Source organism: Homo sapiens, chromosome 7 (assembly GCF_000001405.40).
Source record: "Homo sapiens chromosome 7, GRCh38.p14 Primary Assembly".
Taxonomy (NCBI): domain Eukaryota; kingdom Metazoa; phylum Chordata; class Mammalia; order Primates; family Hominidae; genus Homo; species Homo sapiens.
The window spans coordinates 117,784,900-117,808,927 of NC_000007.14; the positions used below are offsets into that span (position 1 = coordinate 117,784,900).

General features: G+C 37.2%; 1 protein-coding gene across 12 annotated transcripts in view, besides 1 other annotated feature; it reads right to left on the minus strand.

Moving 5' to 3' along the window:
* The window catches only part of CTTNBP2 (cortactin binding protein 2), a 162,791-nt gene that overhangs the window by 74,249 nt on the left and 64,514 nt on the right, over positions 1-24,028 (minus strand). For 10 of the 12 annotated variants that reach the window (NM_033427.3, XM_024446964.2, XM_024446963.2 and 7 more), the window contains exon 4: positions 6,229-7,882. In NM_033427.3, the coding sequence (NP_219499.1) occupies positions 6,229-7,882 (1,654 nt within the window). The remainder of the gene's footprint in view (positions 1-6,228; positions 7,883-24,028) is intronic. The other 2 variants (NM_001363351.1, NM_001363350.1) reach the window with 1 other exon arrangement.
* Positions 1,156-1,665: a silencer, noted in NCBI's record as "conserved region 28 (CR28) negative regulatory element (NRE) in the greater CFTR locus". NCBI's record gives its function as "modestly represses an SV40 promoter coupled to the HS2 beta-globin enhancer in the forward orientation in transfected K562 cells {active_cell/tissue: K562}" and the evidence as "EXISTENCE:reporter gene assay evidence [ECO:0000049][PMID:18436892]".

Here is a 24,028-nt window from a genome sequence, read left to right on the forward strand (position 1 = left end):
TGTAACAGATTTTTCTTTTTCAACAAGGTTTCTAAAATGTTTAATTACAAATTTTATGTAAACCATTAAGATGGACCAAAGAGTCTATTTATATTCCTTGAATTCCCTTATTTGGGAATAGAAATAATGGAGGCCAACTGCTATTCAGTATTAAGAGATAATAAAATATAACATATATAACTGGATCTAGAGTTCACCAGCACAAATATTCAATATACAATTGTGAAGACTGTATCATCTGGCCACCTTTACAAAATGCCTAACAAACTTTTAATCAGCCAACAAAACAGGACACTCAACTATATAATTTTAACAAAAACAATGAGTTATAGTTAGATATTTCTCATCAGTATTTAGCAGCTTTAGAAGAGAGTCTGTTAAGTGTGTGAAATCGGCTGCATATAGCATGAAAAATTTTCTGAATTCTTCCTTGATCAAAAGGCTGTAAAAACAGTAAAGTAAAAAATGTTCATTCAATGTGACATATAGATATTTGTGTATTTTAGACTTAAATACAGTGAATTTTCAAAATAAGACATTTTCCGCTTTTTCCTTATAGGGTTCTAATACCTGTAACATTGTTGTGCATATGTACATATATTCATCCCTAAGGGCACACTTTCACAGACCAATTAAGACTATTTTGTCCTGACCAAAGTGATTACAGATGGAGGGCTTTATTCTAAATAGTGTTTCACAATGACTAGACCCTGAATTTCTATATGCACAATACATCTCATTGTGCATAAAACAAAGATTACTTTTTACTAGCTGCAGTAAAATTTTATGTTAAGGAACTATACCATTTGGATTTTTAAAATGTTTTGTAACTATCCACTACCACCTGTAAAAGAAAATTAAAACCATATTGAACCTTCTGCTCATAACAATGGTCACATGGGCTTTTGACTTTACATCCTTTTGCATGTGTGTGGCATGATGAGATAAGATCTTGCCATATTTACCTGCATGTCCTTTCTTAGCAGTGGAATACAAGGCAGAATGGCCACCTGATTACGATATGTGGTAATATCCCTTTAGTAAGATACAACAGATGGATGTTTTATACTCTCTGTACATTGGTATCAGCATAATTATTCTAAGCATATGAGAGTCATATTAATACATATGTAATACTCAATTCTTATGATTAAATCCTAAATTACTTGCCCTAAATTATCTTAGCATTTTAAAAGTACATATCAAAGGAACTTAGTATTTAAAAAATTCTTTATTAAAAAGGCAAAACAAAGCCAATTATACAAATGAAACTACACTGCTAATAAAAAGCTGGATATTATATCTTTATAATCAATTATTTGGGTCTATGAATAATTTATTGTTTTTAACCCTATTAGGACTACATGTAGTGACATACAAAATTAAAATGCTCATAAAATTCAATATTTATCTAAACTTTATGATATTTTCCTACTGATACTCATTAGCTCTTCTTACAAAAGTAGTATTTTTACTTCATACTTACAAGAAGGCTCCTCTCTGGTACATTTTACCTTTTGTATTTTCTTAAAAACAAACAAACAAACAAAAAACAGGCCCACAAAAATTAAATCAGTACTTATTAGAAATGCATAAACAGAGAAATTATAAACACGAAGGCATAAAACCTCGACTGCAAAGCAAACACAGGCAATATGAAGGCATCGCACTACAGTCCTCTGTGGAACAGGAGGGAATGGGGCTCATACTCAGCCTCTCTTTCATTCTCTCTTTAGATCTCATCCAAGGGGTCTTGGTTGTTGATATTCTTTTATGAATACCAATATATGTAAATGGTTTGCTATTCTTTTGGGTTTTGTTTACATTTTTCTTTTTTCACCATAAATCTAGGCTTTTGAGGGGAGGAGACAGTTTAAATATATTTTTCAACTGCCTTATATGGAAATATTCAATTGCAGCTGTAATTTCCTGGGAAACCCTATTTTTAATAAGTTATCCGAAAGACAAATTTTTTTTTCAATTTGTTTTCAATCTTTAGACCACTCAAGGGTTTTCTTACACAGAACTACAGAAGATATATCAGTTGCCTTATTTTTTTAGAGGTCTGCAATATATTTTTAAAATCTTTACAAAAGAAAAATGCTTTATAAATACCAAGTATTTTAAAACTGTAAATATGTTTTATATCTTCACTAACATTTCCAATGTTGTCTAGCATAGACAAGCTTATTTTAATAAATCCTGCCTAAATATGGGAAAAATAGGACTTCATCATGAGACTATACTGTTCATCTGAAATTCCCGACAATCATAAAAATGGTAATACTTAGTTAAGAGGTTAAATAGTGGTTAAGACAGAACAGACCGGTATTCATACAGCTACTCTAATGATGTTAGCAAAAGGTCAATCAGTTTTGCAGTGTCATACGCAAACATTAGTAAGGTGAGCATCCTGCACAACATGCCAGGAGGAAGGGAATGACTGGACATGCAATGGCAGAGGGAAGGAGTGAGAACAGCTTCTGGCATCAGCTTCAGAGGGTGGAGAAGGTTAATGTCATAGCCCAGATCATTCTTGTTTTCTGATTTAGCCTTTAAGCCAATCATACATGGAGGATAATTTTTAAAAGATATGTTTCAATAGGGAAAAGGTGTAAACCAAATTAAATCAAATGTATCAAATAAAAAAAGAAAAAACAGAAAAAACAATTTCCAAGGGTATGGAAACTCAGTTGCCTGGAGTGATTTCTGGTTTAGGCTTCTGTTCATCTAACATTTGAAATGTGTCTATTTGGCAAGTTCAGGAGGAACAAGAAATTCTAGTTCATTTAGAATTAAGAATGTTATTAAAAAATTTAACATTTGGCTATAAAGGTTGCCAAATAGAGTTTGGGTAATTTATACTACAATTCATTAAAAGGCTAACTTCTGTCATTCCAATTTTCCTTGGGGCTCTAACTTAGTCATAATTTTTATAGATAAAAGCTTACATGGAAACACAGGATTCTAGAGTTGGAAAGATCATGGGCCAGTAGTTCTCCAAGGAGGGAGAGGTAGTTTGAAAATTTATCATGCAAGTTTAAATCTTTTTTTGTTCGGGAATATTATTATATAATTTTGGTTTAATGTTTTGAGACATGGTCTCACCGTGTCACCCAGGCTGGTGCACAGTGGCATGATTATGGCTCACTGTAGCCTTGACTTCCCGAATTCAAGTGATCTTCCCACTTCAGCCTCCTGAGTAGCTGGGACCACAGGCACACACTACCATGCCCAGCTAATTTTTATATTTTTTGTAAAGATGGGATTTTGCCATTTTGCCCCGGCTGGTCTTGAACGCCTGGGCACAAGTGATCCTCCTGCCTCGGCCTCCCAATGTGCTTGGATTACAGGTATGATTACTGCAGCCAGCAATGCTTTTGTTTTTAAATGAAAAAGCTAATGGCTCAGAGGGAATTAGCTCTCTAGGGTGATACTTAGAAAGGGGCAGAAATGGACTAATCCTGCCTTACTATACTTAGTTCAGTGCTTGTTTGATCACTGAAATTGGAAGAGACACCTGCCAGGTATTTGACAGATGTGTGTTGTCCCTGTGCCTTGCTTTGGGCAATCACAATGGAATCAGTGGCTGTTTGGAAGGTTAATCCCCTTCAAAGGGCTCATGACCTGGAGAGGCACAAGCTCAACCAGGCACAGACAGGTTAGTAAGCAGGGTGGAGGCAGCTCTGGTGTTTCTTAGTTGCAATGGTCACAGTGGCGAAAATAGGGGCAATCTAAATGCAAAACAGAGTTGAAATCCTCTATCTTATTTGGAAAGATCAGCTGAACTACATTTATACTTGAGTTGTAGAGTCGTACACCCCCATTGTGTAAGTGTAATCACACTTCCATTTCCCAGTCTAGGTGCTCAGTAAACACTTGCTGAATGACTCAAGGCCTCCAGTGCCTCCGTTCTCCCTTAATAAGCCACATCTTCTAAGCAAATGACATAGAAACTGGTTATTCTACCAAAAGTAATTCAGAAGTTCTGAGAGGAATAAATAAATAAAATACTTTGGTAAAATTGCAAAAGTCAGAGAGTAGAAAATAAGGAATCCGATTTCCGTATCTTCAGTCGCTGGTATTTTTTTTGGTTTCTGGTCTATATTGTCTTTTGCTCTCCAGACATAAGTGAAGGGCATTTTTCAGAGGAGTTATAGCTCTTTTATGTAAAATTTTACTGAATCCTAGGGCAGGATATCCTGGTGAATAGATAATAGATTAGTAAATCTCTGTCTTTAAAAGTTAACAGATTTTAATCCGTTAACTTTTCAATCCTGTTGACAAAATGTTCCTCAGTCATAGATCCTGGTTTTAAAGCTTCTCTGCCGAAACCAAAGGGCACATGCAGCTAAACCCAGGACCACAGTAATGACTAAGGCAACAAGTGGCAAAGCCTCAAGGTCTCAAAGTAAAGATGGCTTTGTATTTTTTTTAAGTGACAAAACTTCTATATCCTAGGAAGTGTTTTCTACTTTACAGTCTATGCATTTATGGCAATAGCACTGCCACTGCTCCACACATTTCTGGAACTTGTGTTTTGTGACTGCCCAAAGATCTTATAGTACATTCTCTATTCTCCTGAGTAGCAAAATTCCTCTCTGAGGGTGGATTTAATTTGTAAGAAACAGCCAAAATTATTTTAGGCCACGAGAAAAGCTGTTCAACTCAGTAATACCATTTTGGATCAAAAATATAGAATGCTGAATGCCTGTAAAGACATCTCAAAATAATACTAAAGTCAATTCCATAGCAAATTCTCAAAAATACTGTAAGCAACAATATCATTGAAGCAGTAATATCACCTCTATTTATTGATTACTCATGCTATTCTAAGCTCAATACCAAGCTGACAGGTTATAGGATCCAATCCTCCTAACAGCCACCCTCCCCCATATGAGTAGCAAAAGAAGTCACCAAAAATGCACAATTGTAAATGGCAGAGACTAGATTTCAACATAGATCTAACTTCCAAGTCCATGCTGCTTCCAATTCCCTATTTCGCCCCTCAAAATATGGATAAAGCCTCTCAAAGACCTTAATTTCAAGTTGATAGCTTATAATTGGACAAATAAATCCTAGTGTACTGCTGTCATCACCTGATAATTAGCAAATATGATGCTATTTGCTTTTCTCTCTCTCCCCTCAAAGTATTAAATATAACAACTGTTCAAACCTTCCTGTAATTATAAAAGTTCTCTCCCATTTGAACCAACAATCTCCACCAACCACTAAGATCCCATGGTAGGAGAGACTTCTTCAAAGTGTCAACAGAACTTTGTCATCCACATTTTGAGGGGTAAAATTGGGAATTGAAAACAGCATGGACTTTGCAGTTAGTCAGATGTGTTTGGAATCCAGTCTCTGCCATTTACAATTATGTATTTTTGGTAACATTACTTTAGAGCCACATTTGCTTAGTAAATAACTAATCCAGTCATGTCAGTAAAAAGCAATGCTTTCTCTAGCACTGTATAACAAAAGGGAAAAATCCACCTCTTCTTTGTTCAAGAGTCCCAGATTCAGTGACTTCATAAGCCACACCTGCAGTGGAAACCTTCTGTGACATAGCCCACATGCTATGTTAACCATCTGTGCCCGAGTGTTGGAAGATGGCAGCACTAAATAGGGTACATGGCTTTTGAAATAAACTAAACTTAGAACAGATTTATAAATATTCACACTCCATTTCTGAAGGTAAAAAAAAAAAAAACCGAAAACACCAAACTGATATTAGAACTTAAAATATACCAATTACGGAACAAATCTAGTCAATTTGGTAATCCAACATAGTGTTAATAATTACTTGAAAGGTCTTTAAAAATGTCATCTCAGAAGGAACAGAATTGAACACGTACTGTCTGATCATGACCCACTGAGGTCTTGCGAGATAAATATTTAATAAGAAGGAATACTCTTTTCTCCCATGTAAATATTTTAGTCTCTCTAAATTAATGGTCTCCATGTGCTTTAAGCCACTACTTTCAGGTTATCTTAAATGAAGAAAGCACTTAGCATAGCGAAACCGCAATTCATATAGCAAGATGAATCACCATACCCTGGAGCCTTTAAAAAAAATACAAAAAAAGAGAGAGAAAGAAAAGAAATGGGGGTGGGGGGAAGCATCAAATTTAAAAAAAAAGTTTCAAGGCAATGTGAAGAAAATCAAGGCAAGTGAGAAGAGAGGCCATATTCTTTAAAAAGCGTATAACATTTCAATCCCTTTACCTGATGCTGTTACCAGGAGGCTGTCTGAGGCACCTGGTCTACAGGATGAGGCACTAACGGGGTTTATGGAAGAGCAAAAGGCAATGGTGGTAGGAATGACAAGGGAACTGTCTGAACATGCAGGTTGGTTCAGTCCGGGGGTTGCAGCAGGCCAGGCACCCACCTGAGACGTGGCCAGGGCTGAAACGGCACAGCCTGCAGGTGCCACAGTTAAATCTATGGATGGTTTTGGTGGCAGCTGAGGGGAGGATGACTTAGGAAGGTTCTCCTCATTGATCACCCTGTTCCCTTGTGGCAAACTGGAAGGAGTCGAAGCCACAGTTTTGTTATCAACTTTGGCCCCTGTGTTCGAGGCCCTGCTGCTGTCTATAATAACCTTGAGTTGGGGGTGTGGTGGAGAAGGAGTTTGGGAGAGCCCTGGCTTTTTTGGAGGGATAGGAGGAGGATTTCCTCTGTCAACTCGTGCTACACCATGAGTCTTTAAACTGGTCCGACCAACTGGAGGGTGGGTGCCAACATCCCCTGTTGGGGGCACTCCAGGCCTTGAGGGAGCACCTGCTTGAGGGCTTGTAAATCTTGACAGTGCTTGGGTCACAGTATTCCGAGCTAGTTGTTTGGCCACTAGGTTGTCACGACTTGTAGGCGAGACATCTCTTGACGGAGGACTTTGGGTAGTATTTCCATTTTGGTCTGGGTCGTTAGCATTGCCCTGAAATCTAAATCTAGCTGCTTGGATTCGTGGGTTTAGACCTGGATGCAAAGAGGTGTTGGCACATGGTGAATGTAAACTGTGCATAGGTGGAGCTTGCGAGTTCTGAGGAGCTATGCCTGGTGTTTGAGCGGTGGGAGGGGCAGCGTTACTGGGAAGTGGGGGTGTGCTACTGGTTGGATCTGGTGTTGAGCCAGTGCTTGGTCCATTTTCCTCAATTTTGTTTGCACTTGGAGGTGGGAAAGCGGGTACAGAAGCGCCAATCAAGTCACCATAGGAAGCCTGCCTGTCAATACCTGGTCTGGCCATGGTGGCACTGGTGCACACGCTCCCTTTTGCATTTGCAGAAACTAGGGGACTCCCTGTGGAAGGTTTTACAGGCATGGTTAAAGGCAACTTTTTCATGTGGTCAGCATTTTCTGTCACTAGGTCTGTCTGGCATGCAACAGACCTTGTCACAGTTCCTTCTGTTCCCACAGATATGGAAACCAAACGCCTATCTTTTGTCTTCCGTGGAAGAGAGAGGCTTGGTTTGCTGTCACTTCCCCTTTTCAGTTGCTCAATCATTTTCCTCATCTTGTCTATCTCCTCTTTGAGGTCAGTGGTGTGTGCTTCTTCCCGGTTCAGCTTGGCACGAAGCTGTTCCCGCTCAGTGTCAAACTCAGAGAGTTGTTTTTCCATCTGAGCTTCCATTTCTGTGCTTCTTCGTTTCTCAGCGGAGAGTTCCTCTTCTAATTCATTCGTCTTTTTCTTTTCCTCTTCCAGTTTGGCCATTACGTCTTCGAGCTTCTGGGCCTCCTCTATGACTTTGCCTGAGAGCTGCTTGCACTCTTTGACCAGCATCAGGACCACCTGCTTGTTCTTGCCACGCTCTTCCTCAAGGCGGGCAGCCAGCTTCTTGTGCTCTTGCTCAAGGGCTTGTAGCTGAAGCTTCTCCATTTCCAGCTGAAAGAAATTCACAGGAAAACCCTGATTAATATACAGAATTTTCTTTTCACCAAGGAAATGCTTTTTGTGAGATTTTTATTAATTTTCTAACAATTACATAACTCGGGTTAGCAAAAACGCCACATTTTCAAAAAGTGTTGTGATAAGAAATATTTTAAAGACACATTAAAATGAGAAAATAGACGTAAATGGCTTTATAAAGACATCTAAATTACAACAATAGAGAATTTTTAAAGTCTATTGAAGTTAACTACAGAAAAAGAGAACAATAACCAGATGCTTTAAATCACAGCACAGGGATCAGAAAGGTCTATTTTTGTAAAAACACAGCTCTGTGATGGAATTGGTGATATTTTTAAAAAAGGTTTAATGCTTTAAAATTATTAATCTCTGAGGTAAAGTATCATGAAAAGTACTGAAAACCGAGGACTTCAGTTAAATTCTAAGCCCCCATGTTTGCTAATTGTATTACCTATCTCAGTAATGTAACATCTTTGAGCTTCCTATGATGAGTTGTTGTGGAAATCATATAAAATTATATATGAAAGAAAGTTCTTTGAAAACTCTAAAGAGCTAAAGAACGATCTTATTAGAACTACATTTGGTGTCAGTGAACCTGGAGCCTGACCTTGTCTCCTACTTTGATCCTGCTTACTCCCTTAGCTTCGCTGGATGCCCGGAGTTTCCTAAACATGGTCCTGCCTCGGGGTCTTTGTCCTTGCTGTTCTCTCTGCATGGGATTCCCACCACACACCTTCCCGTAGCGCTCCTGCAGTAAGCCATGTGCGCATGGCACAAGAGTGACCTGTGGGAGGGTGAGTAGGAGCAAAATTCCAGCCCTCTCTCCCTTCCTTGGATTTCCCTACTCACCCAGCTGCCTGCCCAGGCATGAAGACAGGGGTGCCTTTTCCTTCACAGAAAGGCACTGTCTGTTCACCAAGCCATAGGCCCTTAGGATTGGTGCTTTCCAGAGTGAAATCATTTTTCTAACTGATCAGCCTAGACAGGGAGCTTTCAAAGCCTTTCTTTCTCCAGATGGGGCTTTCTAATATACACAAAAGCTCCCAATAGCACAAGAGGTTGGCTTGTTCATTTCTTCCAGACTTCTGCTCAGCTGTCACCTTTACAATGAGGCCTTCCCTCACCACCCTGTGGGAAATAACAGTTGATAAACTCCCACCCTTGTGTTTATCAACCTTTGTTCACTACCTGCCTGCACCCCCCCTCACCCCAAGTATGACTTTACTGAGGGCAGGGACTGTGTCCTTAAGACCTAGAACAGTGGCTGGCACACAGTGGTGCTTAATAAATTGTATATTGAATGAATGAGCTGAAATTAACATAGTTCCACTGATAACAATCAACTTCCGTTACTGATGGGCTTTCTGGCTAAGTGGGCAGCCTCACAGTGGCACTAGTCTAACATGTTACTGCAAATTTCTCACTTCTGTCTAGGGAAGCATCTGTCATGAGGGGCTCATGAAGGACAAAGGACTCACCCCAAGCTGGGATACAGAAGCCAGGTTGGCCTACATGCCTCACTTCCCCAACTAGTGAAATGTTCCACTGGCGGTCCATAATGGGCCTTATGGTTCCTAAAGGTTAAAGTACATCTACCTGATTATAAAGATGTGGATAGGACTTGTTTTCTCCTGTAGATGTTAAACACAAATATCCTCCCAAGAGAGTCACTACTTATTTGAGTCAAATTTTTGTCATCAATAACAAAGGAAGATACTCTCATGATCTGTAAGTCCTGACGATGTTCCTGTTTCTTACCCTGTTACAAAAATCCACGACTCCTTTCCCCTCACAGTCAGTCATGGGACCAAAAGGAGAAAATGGCTTGCTATACAACTAATGGTGAGAGATAGTGTTTCTTTACTCTGGGATGCTTCCTGCTTTGACAAACAATTGCTAAATAGCATTGGGATGTGTCCCATAAATAGATAATCAGGAATATAGATTATTCCTCAAGCTTAATTACATATATACTTTATTCTACTGGATAAAATTTTGGGAGTAATTCATAAGTAGATTAGGTAAGACTGGGGAACAATAGTGTTGTCATATACTGTTTTTATATGTATATCTTTTTTTTTTTTTTTTTTTTTTTTTTTTGAGACGGAGTCTCGCTCTGTCGCCCAGGCGGGACTGCGGACTGCAGTGGCGCAATCTCGGCTCACTGCAAGCTCCGCTTCCCGGGTTCACGCCATTCTCCTGCCTCAGCCTCCCGAGTAGCTGGTACTACAGGCGCCCGCCACCGCGCCCGGCTAATTTTTTTTGTATTTTTAGTAGAGACGGGGTTTCACCTTGTTAGCCAGGATGGTCTCGATCTCCTGACCTCATGATCCACCCGCCTCGGCCTCCCAAAGTGCTGGGATTACAGGCGTGACGACCGCGCCCGGCCTACTGTTTTTATATGTATATCTTATTCACGTGGGAGCCTTGCACAAATTTGACATATTATTAACTAAAACACATTGAACTCTTCTGAGATGCACCAAATAACAGACTGGTATTAGAAGGCATATGCAAAGTTAGAACTATTAAGAAAATTTAAATCGTATTTTATACTAACCCCAACAAAAAAAAATTCTTACAGCAATGTAAGAAAAACATAAACTAGGCCAGTTTTCCGCTATTAAAATACAAATTTCATCATTTGCCTCTGAAGGTAGAGAATTTTAAGAGCTACCTTCATTTTTACAAAACAATAACTAGAGGCCATATTAGTGTTTTTCCTAATGTCATCCAGCTAATGAGTGTCAGTCATGGCAATCACTCAGGGTTCTACCTGTCTCAGGTTTTTCTCACTGTATCTCACATCTTGTCCACAGTAATTCTGCACTATGGATCATCATCTTTCAGAATCAAATTGAGAAGGAGTTCCAAGTGGAGAGCAATTCAGCTAATCTCAAATATTTATAGAGAAAACTATACTATTATAAAAGCATCTGTAATTCTTTTCTATCTTTGTCCTCCATCACTTGTGCTTTGTAAATCCTATCTCAAACTAATACATGTCTTAATAAAAGTTTACCGCAGAGAGCAGAGCACAGAGGAAACCTCACAATTGATATACCTATAAACACATGGCTCTAAACTCAAACTCTGACTCCCAATCATCAATCACTCTACCTAACTTTATTTAGCTTCCTCTGCCATTTACTACAGGGGATATTTCAAACCTCTACCTTTCCCCAAATCTTCACCCAGTGACCACTCAACTGACTTAGTCTCTCTTTACAGACTCCTTTATCAAAAACATTCAAACTCACTCACTTCCCCTCTTCATCCTATCTCCTCCTTTAAGCTTTTTCATAGCAACACCAATCTATATTTCCTTCCCTTCAATCTAAGGGGGAAAGGTTTCCATCTGCTCAGTGTTGGACTTTCCTTCAGCACTTAACTTCATTCTCTCCCGTCACCTCTGGGACTCACTCCGTCAGTTATTATGTTGCTCTTTTTAAAATATTAAACACCTTTTTCTCTACAGGAGACTTCCAATCACATTATATAAGCACAGTACATAAACATTTTTATATTAAAAAATCTTTGACCATTTCAGCTCAGAGACAAACTATGTGTACTTAAGAGAATAAGAGATGTAGTACAAAATAACATACTCCCATACTTTAAAAATAATTTTTATATTAAAAAATCTTTGACCATTTCAGCTCAGAGACAAATTATGTGTACTTAAGAGAATAAGAGATGTAGTACTAAATTCTGATCCCGAACTTACTAGCTGTGTGACCTTTGTAAGTTCTCTAAAAATTGGTTCTGTATGATCCTAATTATGTTATTTTATGGTTTTAAATAAGACAACACGTGTAAATCACATAGCATAGTGCCCGGCACTAAAAAATACTAAGTTTTCAATTCATAACACAACAGACTATTTGTATTATTTTAAAATGTGTGTGTGACTTTGCACTATATTTCTTCCTCTGAAAACACACTAGAGGCATACAAAAATCTAGAGAATACACCATATTAAACATGTAGATGAATGTTTTTATAAGTTAGATAGGGGTTATAATTTAGCAATTATGAAATATATCAGAGAAAGTTCTGCTACCAGTAATGGAGAAGCAATGGTTATTAGACTAATTCTCCTGCAGATAATAATTATAACCCCTTGAAAAACATATAAAACATAGTGATTTAAAGGCTCTTGAGAGCAATAAAAGAGGTAGAAATGAGAGAAGAGTAAACCCTCCTGTAAGAAAGGAGCCAATAGCATTGGATGAGATTTGCCTTCATGTAGCTGCTCAGCTGGAGGCAATTCCCTATTCTGGTAGCACTGGCAGCTGAAACTCAAGTACAATGCACTGGTGATATGGGCTTGAGGAGTCAGAGGATGAAACTGAGGTTGCCACGGTTTACCAGCATCCTTGTTTGATCCTTGAATTACACATTCATGGGGCAGACCCCACAGAATGACAGAAGGTGGCTGCTGAATGTCTGACAGAGCTGAGCAAAGACCTCAGATGCTGCCAACTGCAAGGAGACAGAATATGAATCTAACCAGGTTAACTGTTTACTAGAACAAAGTACAGCTCTTCAGCAGGTAACAGAATCCAGAGTCTGCAACATATCATATCATCCTCAGTGTTCAGTATACAATAAGAAATTACTAGACAATGAAATTAAGAAAAAGTGAATCCTAGTCTAGAGAAAAGTAGTCAATAAAAACCGGCCCAAGATGATCCACGCTGGAATTAGTGACAAGGATTTTAAAGCAGCCATTTTCAAAGAAAATATGGTCATAATAAATGAGGGGAAGGGGAATCCTGGCATACAAACAAAAACTATAAAAAAAGAACCAAATGTACAAACAGAACTGATAAGTGTAATATCTAAACTGACAAAAAGTTCACTGAATGGGCTTAATAGCAGATTTGAGAGAGCAGAAGAAAAATAATAATTAATTTGAAAATAAAGCAAAAGCAAGTATTCGATTTGAAGAGCATAGAAAAAAAGATTGAAAACATTGAACAGCATCTTATTTATATCTAGGGCAATACAAACTGGTTTAAATTCCATGAACTGGAGTTCCAAAAAGAGAAAAAAGACAGAATGCAGAAGAAAAATATCTTGGAAGAAAAAATGGCCCCAAAATTTACAAATTTGATTAAAAAGGCAAACTTACAAATCCAGGAAGCTCAGCAATTTCAAAGCAGAAAAATATAAAGTTATACCTAGGCACATCATAGTAAAACTGCTGAAAACAAAGACAAATAATCTTGAAATCAGCCAAAAAATTAAAGACATATTACGTACAGAGAATCTGCAACATAAATGATGGCAATGGTGATAATTTTCTCTAAAATATACAAAGCAGAACCTGACAGAAATACAGGAAAAATAGACAAATCTACAATAATAACAATATCTCACTTAAAAAACCTAGATTAAAAAGCTCAGCAAGAATATAAATAGTATATCTGAAAACACTATAAAAATCACCTGGCCATTGATATTTATAGGGTAGAATATACCAAAACTACAAAAGATATTCTTTTCAAACGTACTTGCTGAGCTATTGAGAACTACCAAACCAATAGATTTCGAAAGGCTAAAATCTTATAGACTGTGTTCTCTGACTAAAGCAGAATTAAACTGGAAATAAATCATAAGATATTAAGAAAACCTCAAAATTCAAAAATAAAACAATATATTGCTAAATAGTAAAGAGGATTAAGAGGAAATCACAAAGTAATTTAGAATATATTTGGGGCTGAATGAATACAAGAACACAGCATACCAAAATTTGTGGGACTCTGAAAGCAGAGCATCTAAAAGCAGCTAAGGCCGATATGGCTTTAAATGTTTACTTTAGAAGAGCTGCCTCAAATCAATCATCCTAGTTTCACCTTAAGAAGCTAGGAAAAGATGGACAAAGTAAATCCAAAGTAGAAGGAATCAAATACCAAAGAAATTGATGAAACAGAAGAAATAAATGATAGAGAAATTAACAAAGCCAAAAATTGTATCTAAAAGATTAATAATATTGCTAAATATGTAGAAAACCAGATTTAGAAATAGAGAAAAACACAAATTACAAATAACAGGAATGAAAGAGGGGATATCACTACAGATTAAAGAAATATTAAAAGGATAACTTTGTGCCAATAAGTTCAATAAATTAAAAAATCCTCTGAAAGCTACACTTTCAGAAATTACACAAAATGACATAGAAAATTGGAATGGCTTTATATTTTTTTAACAGAAACTAAATTCACGATTAAAAACTTCTTCCCAAAGAAAACTCCTAGCTTATAAGGCTGTACTGATGTTCTAGAAAACATTAAAGAAAAAAAAAATGATGCCAAACTTACACCCTTTCAGAAAATAGAAAAGACTTCCAACTCACTTTGTGAACAAAAAATTACCTTTATACAAAACAAAAATTTTTTTTAATTTACAGAGAAAACATCTCTCTTGGACACAGACACAAAACTCTTTAGCAAAATATAGGCAAATGAAATCCACCAATATATAAAAAAAGTAATAAAAAGGTGACCATGTGAGATTTACCTTAGGGGTCTAAGTTGGTTTAATATTTGAAAATCAATCTGTGTAACTCAATATATTAAAAGATAAAAGAGAAACACCAGGATTATGTCAACAAATGCAAATAAACTATTTTTTAAATCAAAACCATTCATGATAAAAAAAAAACCTTCCAACAAAGAATAGAATGAAACCTCAAATGAGATAAAGAGCATCTATGAAAAGCACAGCTAACATTGTACTTAATGATGAAACATGAAATATTTTTTCCCTAAGAAAAAGACAATAAAGTCTACTTTCACTACTTCTGTTCAACATTGCACTGGAGGTTCTAGTCACTGCAATAATTCCAGGGCAGTGGTGGGGAAGAAGAAAAAGGCAGGCAGGCAAATCATTTGGAAAGGAATAAGTAAAATGTTCTCTATAGATCATATATTTTATATTTTTAACCTAGAAAATCATGAATATACAAAATAATGGCTAGAACTATTTAAGTAATATAGCAAGATTACAGAATACAATGTGAACATACAAAGTCAATTGAATACCTGCACATTAACAACAAACATTTGAAATTCTTAAACAAATAATGCTATTTACAATAGCATCAAAAAATAAAATATGAGTAACAGCAACAAATGACTTCTAAGACCACCACACTGATAGAAGCCAAATGTTGCTAAGAGATTAAAGATCTAAATAAATGGAGAAATGTACTATAATTATGGGTTGGAAGACTCTACTTTACTAAGATGTCAGTTCTCACAAAATTAGTCTATAGATTCAATGAAATTTTGATCCCTGCAAACTTTTGGAGAAGCCAAATTGCCTTTAATTTTTTTTTTTGTAGGGAAGCCCAAAGGATTTAGACTAGCCAAACAATTTAGATAAAGCAAACAAAGCTGGAAGACTAACAGCTCCTGAATTTAAGGCTAACTATTAAAACAATAGTCATCGTTTACCTAAAATTCTAATATAGGTAAGACTAATCCATGATGAAAAAATCAGAATAGTGCTCAGCAGTTTCCTGAGTTGGGGGAGGGACTTATTGGGTAGGTACTGCAGGAACCTTTTTATGTGGTGATGGAAATATTCTATATCTTGTTGGTGGGGTGGGGGATGCACAGATTACCCACATGTATGCATTTTCAAAACTCATTAATTTTTAGACTTAAGATATGTGAATTGTACTTCCTGTAAACTTTTCCTTAAGAATCTGTAAACTAATTTTGAATTCCAGGTTTTCATTTTGGCCTTATACAGCGGTATGAGTAAGTAATTCTGAAACTACTCTGTGTGTTCCACGCTTCAGTAAATGAGTAAATATACTGAAGTACAGTGAAAATCGGGTTTCTCACTGGTGGAAAAAAGGAGTCATAAATAGAAAAAGGACTGGCATATACTCTATGGCTTGGAATTAGATTCAGGAATGTCAGTGTCAGTATACTGACAGCTTGATACATAGAGAGACAGACAAGATATATAGCTATGTTTTGTGTACATATGAATATGATAAATATATGTAATTTCCTAGCTCCAGATTTGTTGCTAAGTACCATCTCCCATTAAATAGGAAACAGTGCTCCTGGAAGAAATACCTAATTCCAAGCATTGGATTAAAGAAAACACAAAATGAGCCTGGAGTATCTTGCTGCAAGTGCTAAAAAATGATGAGAATATATAGAAGAAGCCAGCTTAAGAGGGCTCCCAGTGGCCAAATCGGGGACAGATAGTGATGGTAAGTTTTGAACTCATCAAATAGGCATCCATGACTCCACACTGATGTAATAAACAAGTAAACAGGGGAGAAAGAAAAGCTTTTCCTTACAGTAGAATGCCACATAAAAAATGCAGAAGGAATAATGGGGTTGAAAAATCATCAGTGGATTCTAAAACTAGCAGGTGAACATTTAATGAATAAGATATTTAAAGAATATCAACATATTTCTCCACAAATTAGTTATTAATACAAAAGGAACAATAACAACTAAACAGTGAGGAAAACATGCAAAAGCTGAATAAAATCATCAGGAAACATTAGACAAACTTGAATTGAGTGACGTTTTACAAAATACCTAGCCCATGCTCTTCAGAAATATCAGGGTAAATAAAGCAAAGAAAGATTGAAGAGCTGTTGCAGCTTAAAGGAGACTAAAGAAAATAACAATTAAACGCAATGCCTGATCTTGAATTGGGAAAATAATTGCTACAAAGACCATTATTGGAACAACTGGGGGGAAATGAATATGTGGATTAGAAAAAATGCTGTTTCAATTATAAATTTCCTCATTTTAAAAAACTGTATGGTGATTATGTAAGAGATTGTCCTTATTCTTAGTAAATATACATCAAAATATTTAGGAGTAAAAAACCATATGTCTTTAATTTATTTTCTAATGGTTTGGAAAAAACATCTGTGTGTGTGCGCTCACGCATGTATGTGTGTAAAGGAGAAGGAAAAAATAAAGCAGATTAGATAAAATATAAACAACTGTGAATCTGGGTAAAGAATGCTGATACCGTACTATTCTTGCAACTTTTCTGTAAGGTTCAAATTATATAAAAATTAAAAGTTTGGAAAATGTTTTTTATTTTTTTTATTTTTTTATTTTTATTATACTTTAAGTTTTAGGGTACATGTGCACATTGTGCAGGTTAGTTACATATGTATACATGTGCCATGCTGGTGCGCTGCACCCACTAACTCGTCATCTAGCCTTAGGTATATCTCCCAATGCTATCCCTCCCCCCTCCCCCCACCCCACCACAGTCCCCAGAGTGTGATATTCCCCTTCATGTGTCCATGTGATCTCATTGTTCAATTCCCACCTATGAGTGAGAATATGCGGTGTTTGGTTTTTTGTTCTTGCGATAGTTTACTGAGAATGATGATTCAATACAGGAAAATTACAATTATATAAGAAACAGATATAGTAATCACTTGAATATGAGGAAGGATTTCTTTTAAAAGCTTCAAAATAGTCCTATGCAGAAGAGCAAAACTGGACCCACACCTTTCAACATATACAAAAAATAACTCAAGATGGATCAAATATTTAAACATAACATCTCAAACTATAAAAATCCTAGAAGAAAATCTAGGAAATACCATTCTAGACTTCAGCATTGGCAAAAAAAAAAAAAAAAAAAACAAAAACAAACAAACAAAAAAACAAAAAAAAAGTTATGGCTAAGACCTCGAAAGCAATCACAACAAAAATACAAATTGTTAAATGGGACCTAATTAAACTAAAAAGCTTCTGCATGACCAAAGAAACACTCAATGAGTAAACACTCTAAAAGATAAGAGAAAATATTCATAAACTATGCATCTGACAAAGGTCTAACATCCAGAATCTATAAATAACTTAAATCAACAAGCAAAAAGCAAATAACCCAATTAAAAAGGTGGGCAAAGGACATGAACAGACATTTCTCAAAAGAAGATATACGAGTAGTCAACAAACATGAAACAATGCTCTATATCACTAATATCAGAGAAATGCAAATCAAAACCACAATGAGATACCACTTCACACCAGTCAGAATGGCTATTAATAAAAAGTCAAAAAAATAATAGATGCTGAAGAGGCTGTGGAGAAAAGAGGACACTTATACACTGTCGGTAGAAATGTAAATTAGTTCAGCCACAGTGGAAAGCAGTTTGGAGATTTCTCAAAGAACTCAGAAATACCATCCAACCCAGCAAACCCATAACTGGGTATACACCCAAAGGAAAATACATTGTTCTACCAAAAAGACACATGCATGCCTATGTTTATCTCAGCACTATTCACAATCAGCAAAGACATGGAATCAACCTAGGTGCCCATCAACAGTGAACTGGATAAAGAAAATGCGGTACATATACACCATATACGCCATACGTATACACATATACGCCAACTAAAAGAATGAAATCATGTCCTTTGCAGCAACATGGATGCAGATGGAGGTCATTATTCTAAGTGAACTAATGCAAGAACAGAAAACCAAATACCACAAGTTCTCACTTGTAAGTAGAAGCTAAACATTGGGTACACATAAAAAGATAGGAACAATAGATGCTGAGGACTCCAAAAGAGGGGAAAGGGGAAAGGACTGAAAAACTACCTATTGGGTACTATGCTCACTACTTGGGTGACAGGATCAATCACACCCCAAAACTCAGCATCATACGATATGCCAATGTGAACCTGCACATGTTCCACCTAAATCTAAAATAAAATCGAAATTATTTTTTAAAAAGCTTCAAAATAAAGTTTAAAAATGAAAAGAAAAGAAAGACCAAGGAAGAATGACTTTTTTATGTATTAAGGGAGTTGTGACTCATCCAAAAAGGTATGTCTGGAACCCATCAAGAGACATAAGTAAAGAGAGGGTGAGAATCAGGTTGTAGAGAAGAATGCACCAGGAGACTTATAGAGTTAAAGCATTACCCCAGGAAACCAGAAAAGGCTACTGCAGGGAGAAGAGAGCCAATAATATTCTTGAAGAAATGGGTACCAAATGGCATTGAAGAAGGAACTATATTTTGTCCTTAAAAAAGGTAAATATAAGCAAATCATGATACATGATTTTTAATAATTTCATATGGTAGATTAAATTTGAATAACTGCTTTTTGATGTTCAAAAGCCTGGCCTTTATTTATTTATTTATGAATGAATGAATGAATGAGATAGGGTCTCGCTGTTGCCCAGGCCAGAGTGTAGTGGGGTGATCTCAGCTCACTGCAACCTCTGCCTCCTGGGTTCGAGAGATTCTTTTGCCTCAGCCTCCTGAGTAGCTAGGACTACAGGTATGCGAGAACATACCTGGCTAATTTTTGTATTTTTAGTAGAGACGGAGTTTCACCACGTTGGCTAGGCTGGCCTCAAACTCCTGATCTCAAGTGATCCGCCTGTCTCAGTCTCCCAAACTGCTGGGATTACAAGTGTGAGCCACTGCACCCAACCAAGCCTGGCTTCAATTTTAATAAATGTTATGAGCCAGTAAGTTTCTCAAACCACTAGTGTATATAACAAACATTTGTTTTTCTGGGGATCATACGCCTTTTGAATCTTATGTACTATGAAAAACACAACACCACAGACATGGTATTTCTACCAAAAATGCAAAAGCTGATCAAACTGTGATCAAACTGAAAAGTCCTAACTCATTATTATAAATTTCATATATGACTATTCACAATAGCAAAGACACAGAATCAACCCGAATGCCCATCAGTGACAGACTGGATAAAGAAAATGTCGTACATATACACCATGGGATACTATAAAGCTGTACAAATGAACAAGATCACATACTTTGCAGAGACATGGATGGAGCTGGAAGCTATTATTCTCAGCAAACTAACATAGGAACAGAAAACCAAACACTGCATGTTCTCACTTATAAGTGGGAGCTGAACAATGTCAACACATAGACACAGGGAGGGGCACAACACACACTGGGGCCTGTTGGGGCATGGCAGGGGTAGAGCATCAGGAAGGATAGCTAATGCAGGCTGAGCTTAATGCCTATGTGATGGGTTGACAGGTGCAGCAAACCACCATGGCACATGTTTACCTATGTGACAAACCTGCACATCTTGCACATGTGCCCTGGAACTTAAAAAATTTCCTGCATGTTCATTCTCCATGATATGTAGAAAAATGACCCATTTCAAGCAAAATCTTTTCTGTGGTCTCTCTTCTTGATTGTTTCAATCTTTATTAATACATTTTGAATGTCTTTTGAATACCTGACCTTCATGTTTTTAGCTCTTTTTGAAGCATGAACTAGGTCGATCATATATTTAATAAGAGTTTTAGAGCTGGTCTTTTGATCCAATATCATATAGGCATTTTTTCCCTCTAAACTTTGGGATATTCTCTTGATTGTAGAGCTATGGGGGAATACATGTGTTAAAATCTGTGTCTCTCAATCTTAAATGGCTTGAGGGAATGACATAAAAATCACAAAGAATCCAAAGTATTAAGGATTTTCCACTTTTCTAGCAGTAAGGAAGAAATACAGTACATATAGGAAGCCTGAGAAGCAGGAGATCTGAGTTCTACCACCGAGTGGCTATAGGAAAGTCACACAGCAGTTAAGTATGTGGACTCTGAAGGCAGACTGCTTGTCTTCAAGCCAATGGGCACAGCTGTTCAACTTCTCTGTGACCTTAATTTACTTATGCTTAAAATGCAATAATAATAGCCTCTACAGTATGTAATAACAACATCCTAAGGATCAAATGAGTTGATTTAATAGGACATGGCATACACTGCGAGCTCATTACATCTCCGGGGAATCCCTTAAGCTCTCTGAATTTAATCATATAATTTTGAAACCTCCTGTCATTATCACCATCAAGAGTCGTTGGCTCTTTCCTATATTTTTTCCTATCATCAATAAAGTAGTTTCCAGTACTACTTTTACAGATTTTTAAAAAAATTGTTCAGGTCAGTATAACAGCAGTGAATGTGCACTTGTTTAAATTTGAGTCATCTTGGTATTAATTTGTTCACACATTATCACAAGCAATGTCTTAAAGAACTTTTGAAGAGAAAATATCTAAACTGTGTACAAGGAACCACACTAGAAACTACAAAGGATATGAAAATCCATAAATTCCACTTATTTGATTGTAGGACTACACAAATTTTAAAGAGATGATCAGATGGCAGGACCACATACTAAGTTAAAAAGGAACCACAGTATACATAAATTATGGAGTTCCAGGTGACTTTGTTATGTTATTGTCGAATTTATATCTCCTTCGAACCACTTTCAAGCAGGGGCCGAGGGAAACTTTGCATGGAGCAGTAACACCAAACTCTTTTGCAAAAAGCAGTGGATTGTGTGGAAGAGCTCAGAAGAATGAACGCAGCTTCACTGGTAGTGAGAAAGTGGGTGGCTGCTCCAAGAATAGCACCCAAACTGGAAGCTATGAATGAAGAGGCACCAAACACATGGTTTTATAGAATGAAAGGGAAAACTATGTAGGTGGGAGCAAAGCAGCGCTGTAAAGGCAATTAGTTCTAATTCAAAGTGGAAAACTGAGAGGAAAGCAATTACAGCCATTTATAAATTGAGAAAGCAGAGTGCATATCTGCCACACCACAAAATACTCTTACGACATTTAACCATACTCTTGATTGCTCTCCCAAAATCTTTTAAGGCTCGTTGCATCCCTGTCCTCTTCTCTCCCTGGGCACTCCAACCCATCTGCTCAATCTGATAAACAAATACATAACAACAAGATATATTAAGAGATCTTTTCATTTTTTTCCTTTCATTTTTAATTTCAAAGGGGCTGTGGCTAACATTCAGTGATCTGGGCTATACAGTTCTCATCTGCCCCTCCCTCTTAATCTAGAATCTAGAGTTTCAAGAGTGGGAAGGCAAGCCCTGGAAACAGAGGTTTGGCTCATTTCTTTCTTCTTTTTCTCATTTTTTTTTTTTTTTTTTTTTTTTTTTATTTTGAGACAGAGTCTCGCTCTGTTGCCCAGGCTGGAGTGCAATTGTGCGATCTCGGCTCACTGTGAGCTCTGCCTCCCAGGGTCAAGCAATTCTCTTCCCTCAGCCTCCTGAGTAGCTGGGATTACAGGTGCATGCCACCACACCTGACTAAGTTTTGTATTTTTAGTAGAGACAGGGTTTCACCATGTTGGTCAGGCTGGTCTTGAATTCCTGACCTTGTGATCCGCCCACCTGGACCTCCCAAAGTGCTGGGATTACAGGGGTGAGCCACCATGCCCGGCTGGCTCATTTCTATCTACATGGATCAGGCAAACTGCTCTCTCCTTGAAATTTCTACTCAGAGCCACAGATCTCAATCTCCAACTCCCCCTTGACAATGGCTCTGCAATGCTCCTGGGGAATCAAAATGCATTTTTTAATGTAACAATGCAACAAAAAAGACTCAGGAATGAGCTAAATAATCTTTCATGTGCAAAATGTCCTAAATCCTCTCCTGACAATTTTATTACATATGATTCTCTACCATGGTATTACTGAATGAAAGTCTAAAAAGCAATTTAAAATGAAAATACATTTATATATGTGGTAAGCAATATATAATGAAGTAGAGAACATGGAATAAAAATGGCAGAATAAAGTACAATTGTAAGAAGAAATGGGCATATGAAATCAAGGAAACAAAACAAATATTTTGTTCTTTTCTGACCCATTTCCATTTCTTCGGTTGTCTAGCACTGGAAACTCCTTCCTATGTTAGGAGAATTCTCTACTTTATGATTCTCCCCTGTAGAAGCTAAATATGTCCAGTAGTTGCTTTCCTGGTCTTCTGTGTAGTCTAAGCTTGGCTAATGAAATGCACCTGTCTTAGGCTTCAAATAGGTAATGAGTGATACAAAAAAGAAGGACCTGGGGAGGGACCACTCAGGATCTGGAGCAGTGAGGGCACCAGTGCTGTCTGGCATCAACAGGGTGAAAAGAAAGCTGCAGCATCCATTTCTCATCAGCAGAAGCATCTCCTGCTGCAGACTAGCTCTGCAGACGGTACTTGTTTGTGATGCTGGCTGGGAAGAGCTAGTCCTCTAGGCTTTGCTAGCCATGCTGAACCACGATGTAAGCCAACTATTTCTATAAACCAGACAACAAATGCCCTTTCTGCCTTCTCAATGAACATTGGCTTCACCAGCTCAAAACTAAGAATCCTGTCTGAGGCATCTATTGCCATGCAACTCACCTATTTATATTGCGCTGCCACATAGAAGGAGCTGTATCTAATACACACAGTTATTTTTAGTTTTTTCACTGGTGAAAAGAATTGTTCCCCCTCTGAATTTCCTGGTTATTATTTTGGCTACACAGATTCAAAGTTCTGATCAAATTAAAAGGTCTTTCCTTCTTCAGGGCCAGAATTTATACTTCCTGAATGCGAAGAAAATGTTTGAAAATATACAGATTTCCTCCCTACTGTTCAAAGAAATCAGAATGGAAATTCTATTAAAAGATGATAGACAAGATTAAAAAAAAAAAACCTCCAAATATCATTCCATCCTGGGTTACTGGCTCAAAATGGGAAGTGGATTACCGGAGGCAAAGTTCCCCATGATGATTACTCATTAGCTTATTCAAAGTGGCTTCAGAGCCTCAGTCCATTTGCCAAATTGACTCTTGCCCAAATTTCCCTGGCACACAAATTACCAAACAGTTAACCCGCCTATTCGTAGTCGCAGCAGGAGCCAACGCATGAATGAGCACAGACCCTGTTCTCCTGCCTTGAGAGGCAAACTAGAGCAGCGCTCAGGCCAAGTGTCTTAGAATTACCAAAGAGATATGACCGATGTCAGATAATAAATACTTGAATCATAGCTAATGGAGCCTTTGCTTTCCCAGACATTTGCTCTGGCAGTGATTTAAAGAACTGAACTCATTTAAAATAATGGATTTTTTTTCCTTATGGCTTTTAGATGTCTAAAGCTGCAATTTACTCTACATGCGAGGGAACTGAAGACATTTGGTTAAAATATTTGCTTTCAGAGGACTAAAGGTGACAGGTAATTTTGTTGTTAAAGAGATGACTTTGGTGTTTCTGCTTTCATCAGCTGATACGGTATTTTCTTTTTAAGACACAGGGTAAGAGTACAAATTATAACTCTTCGCAT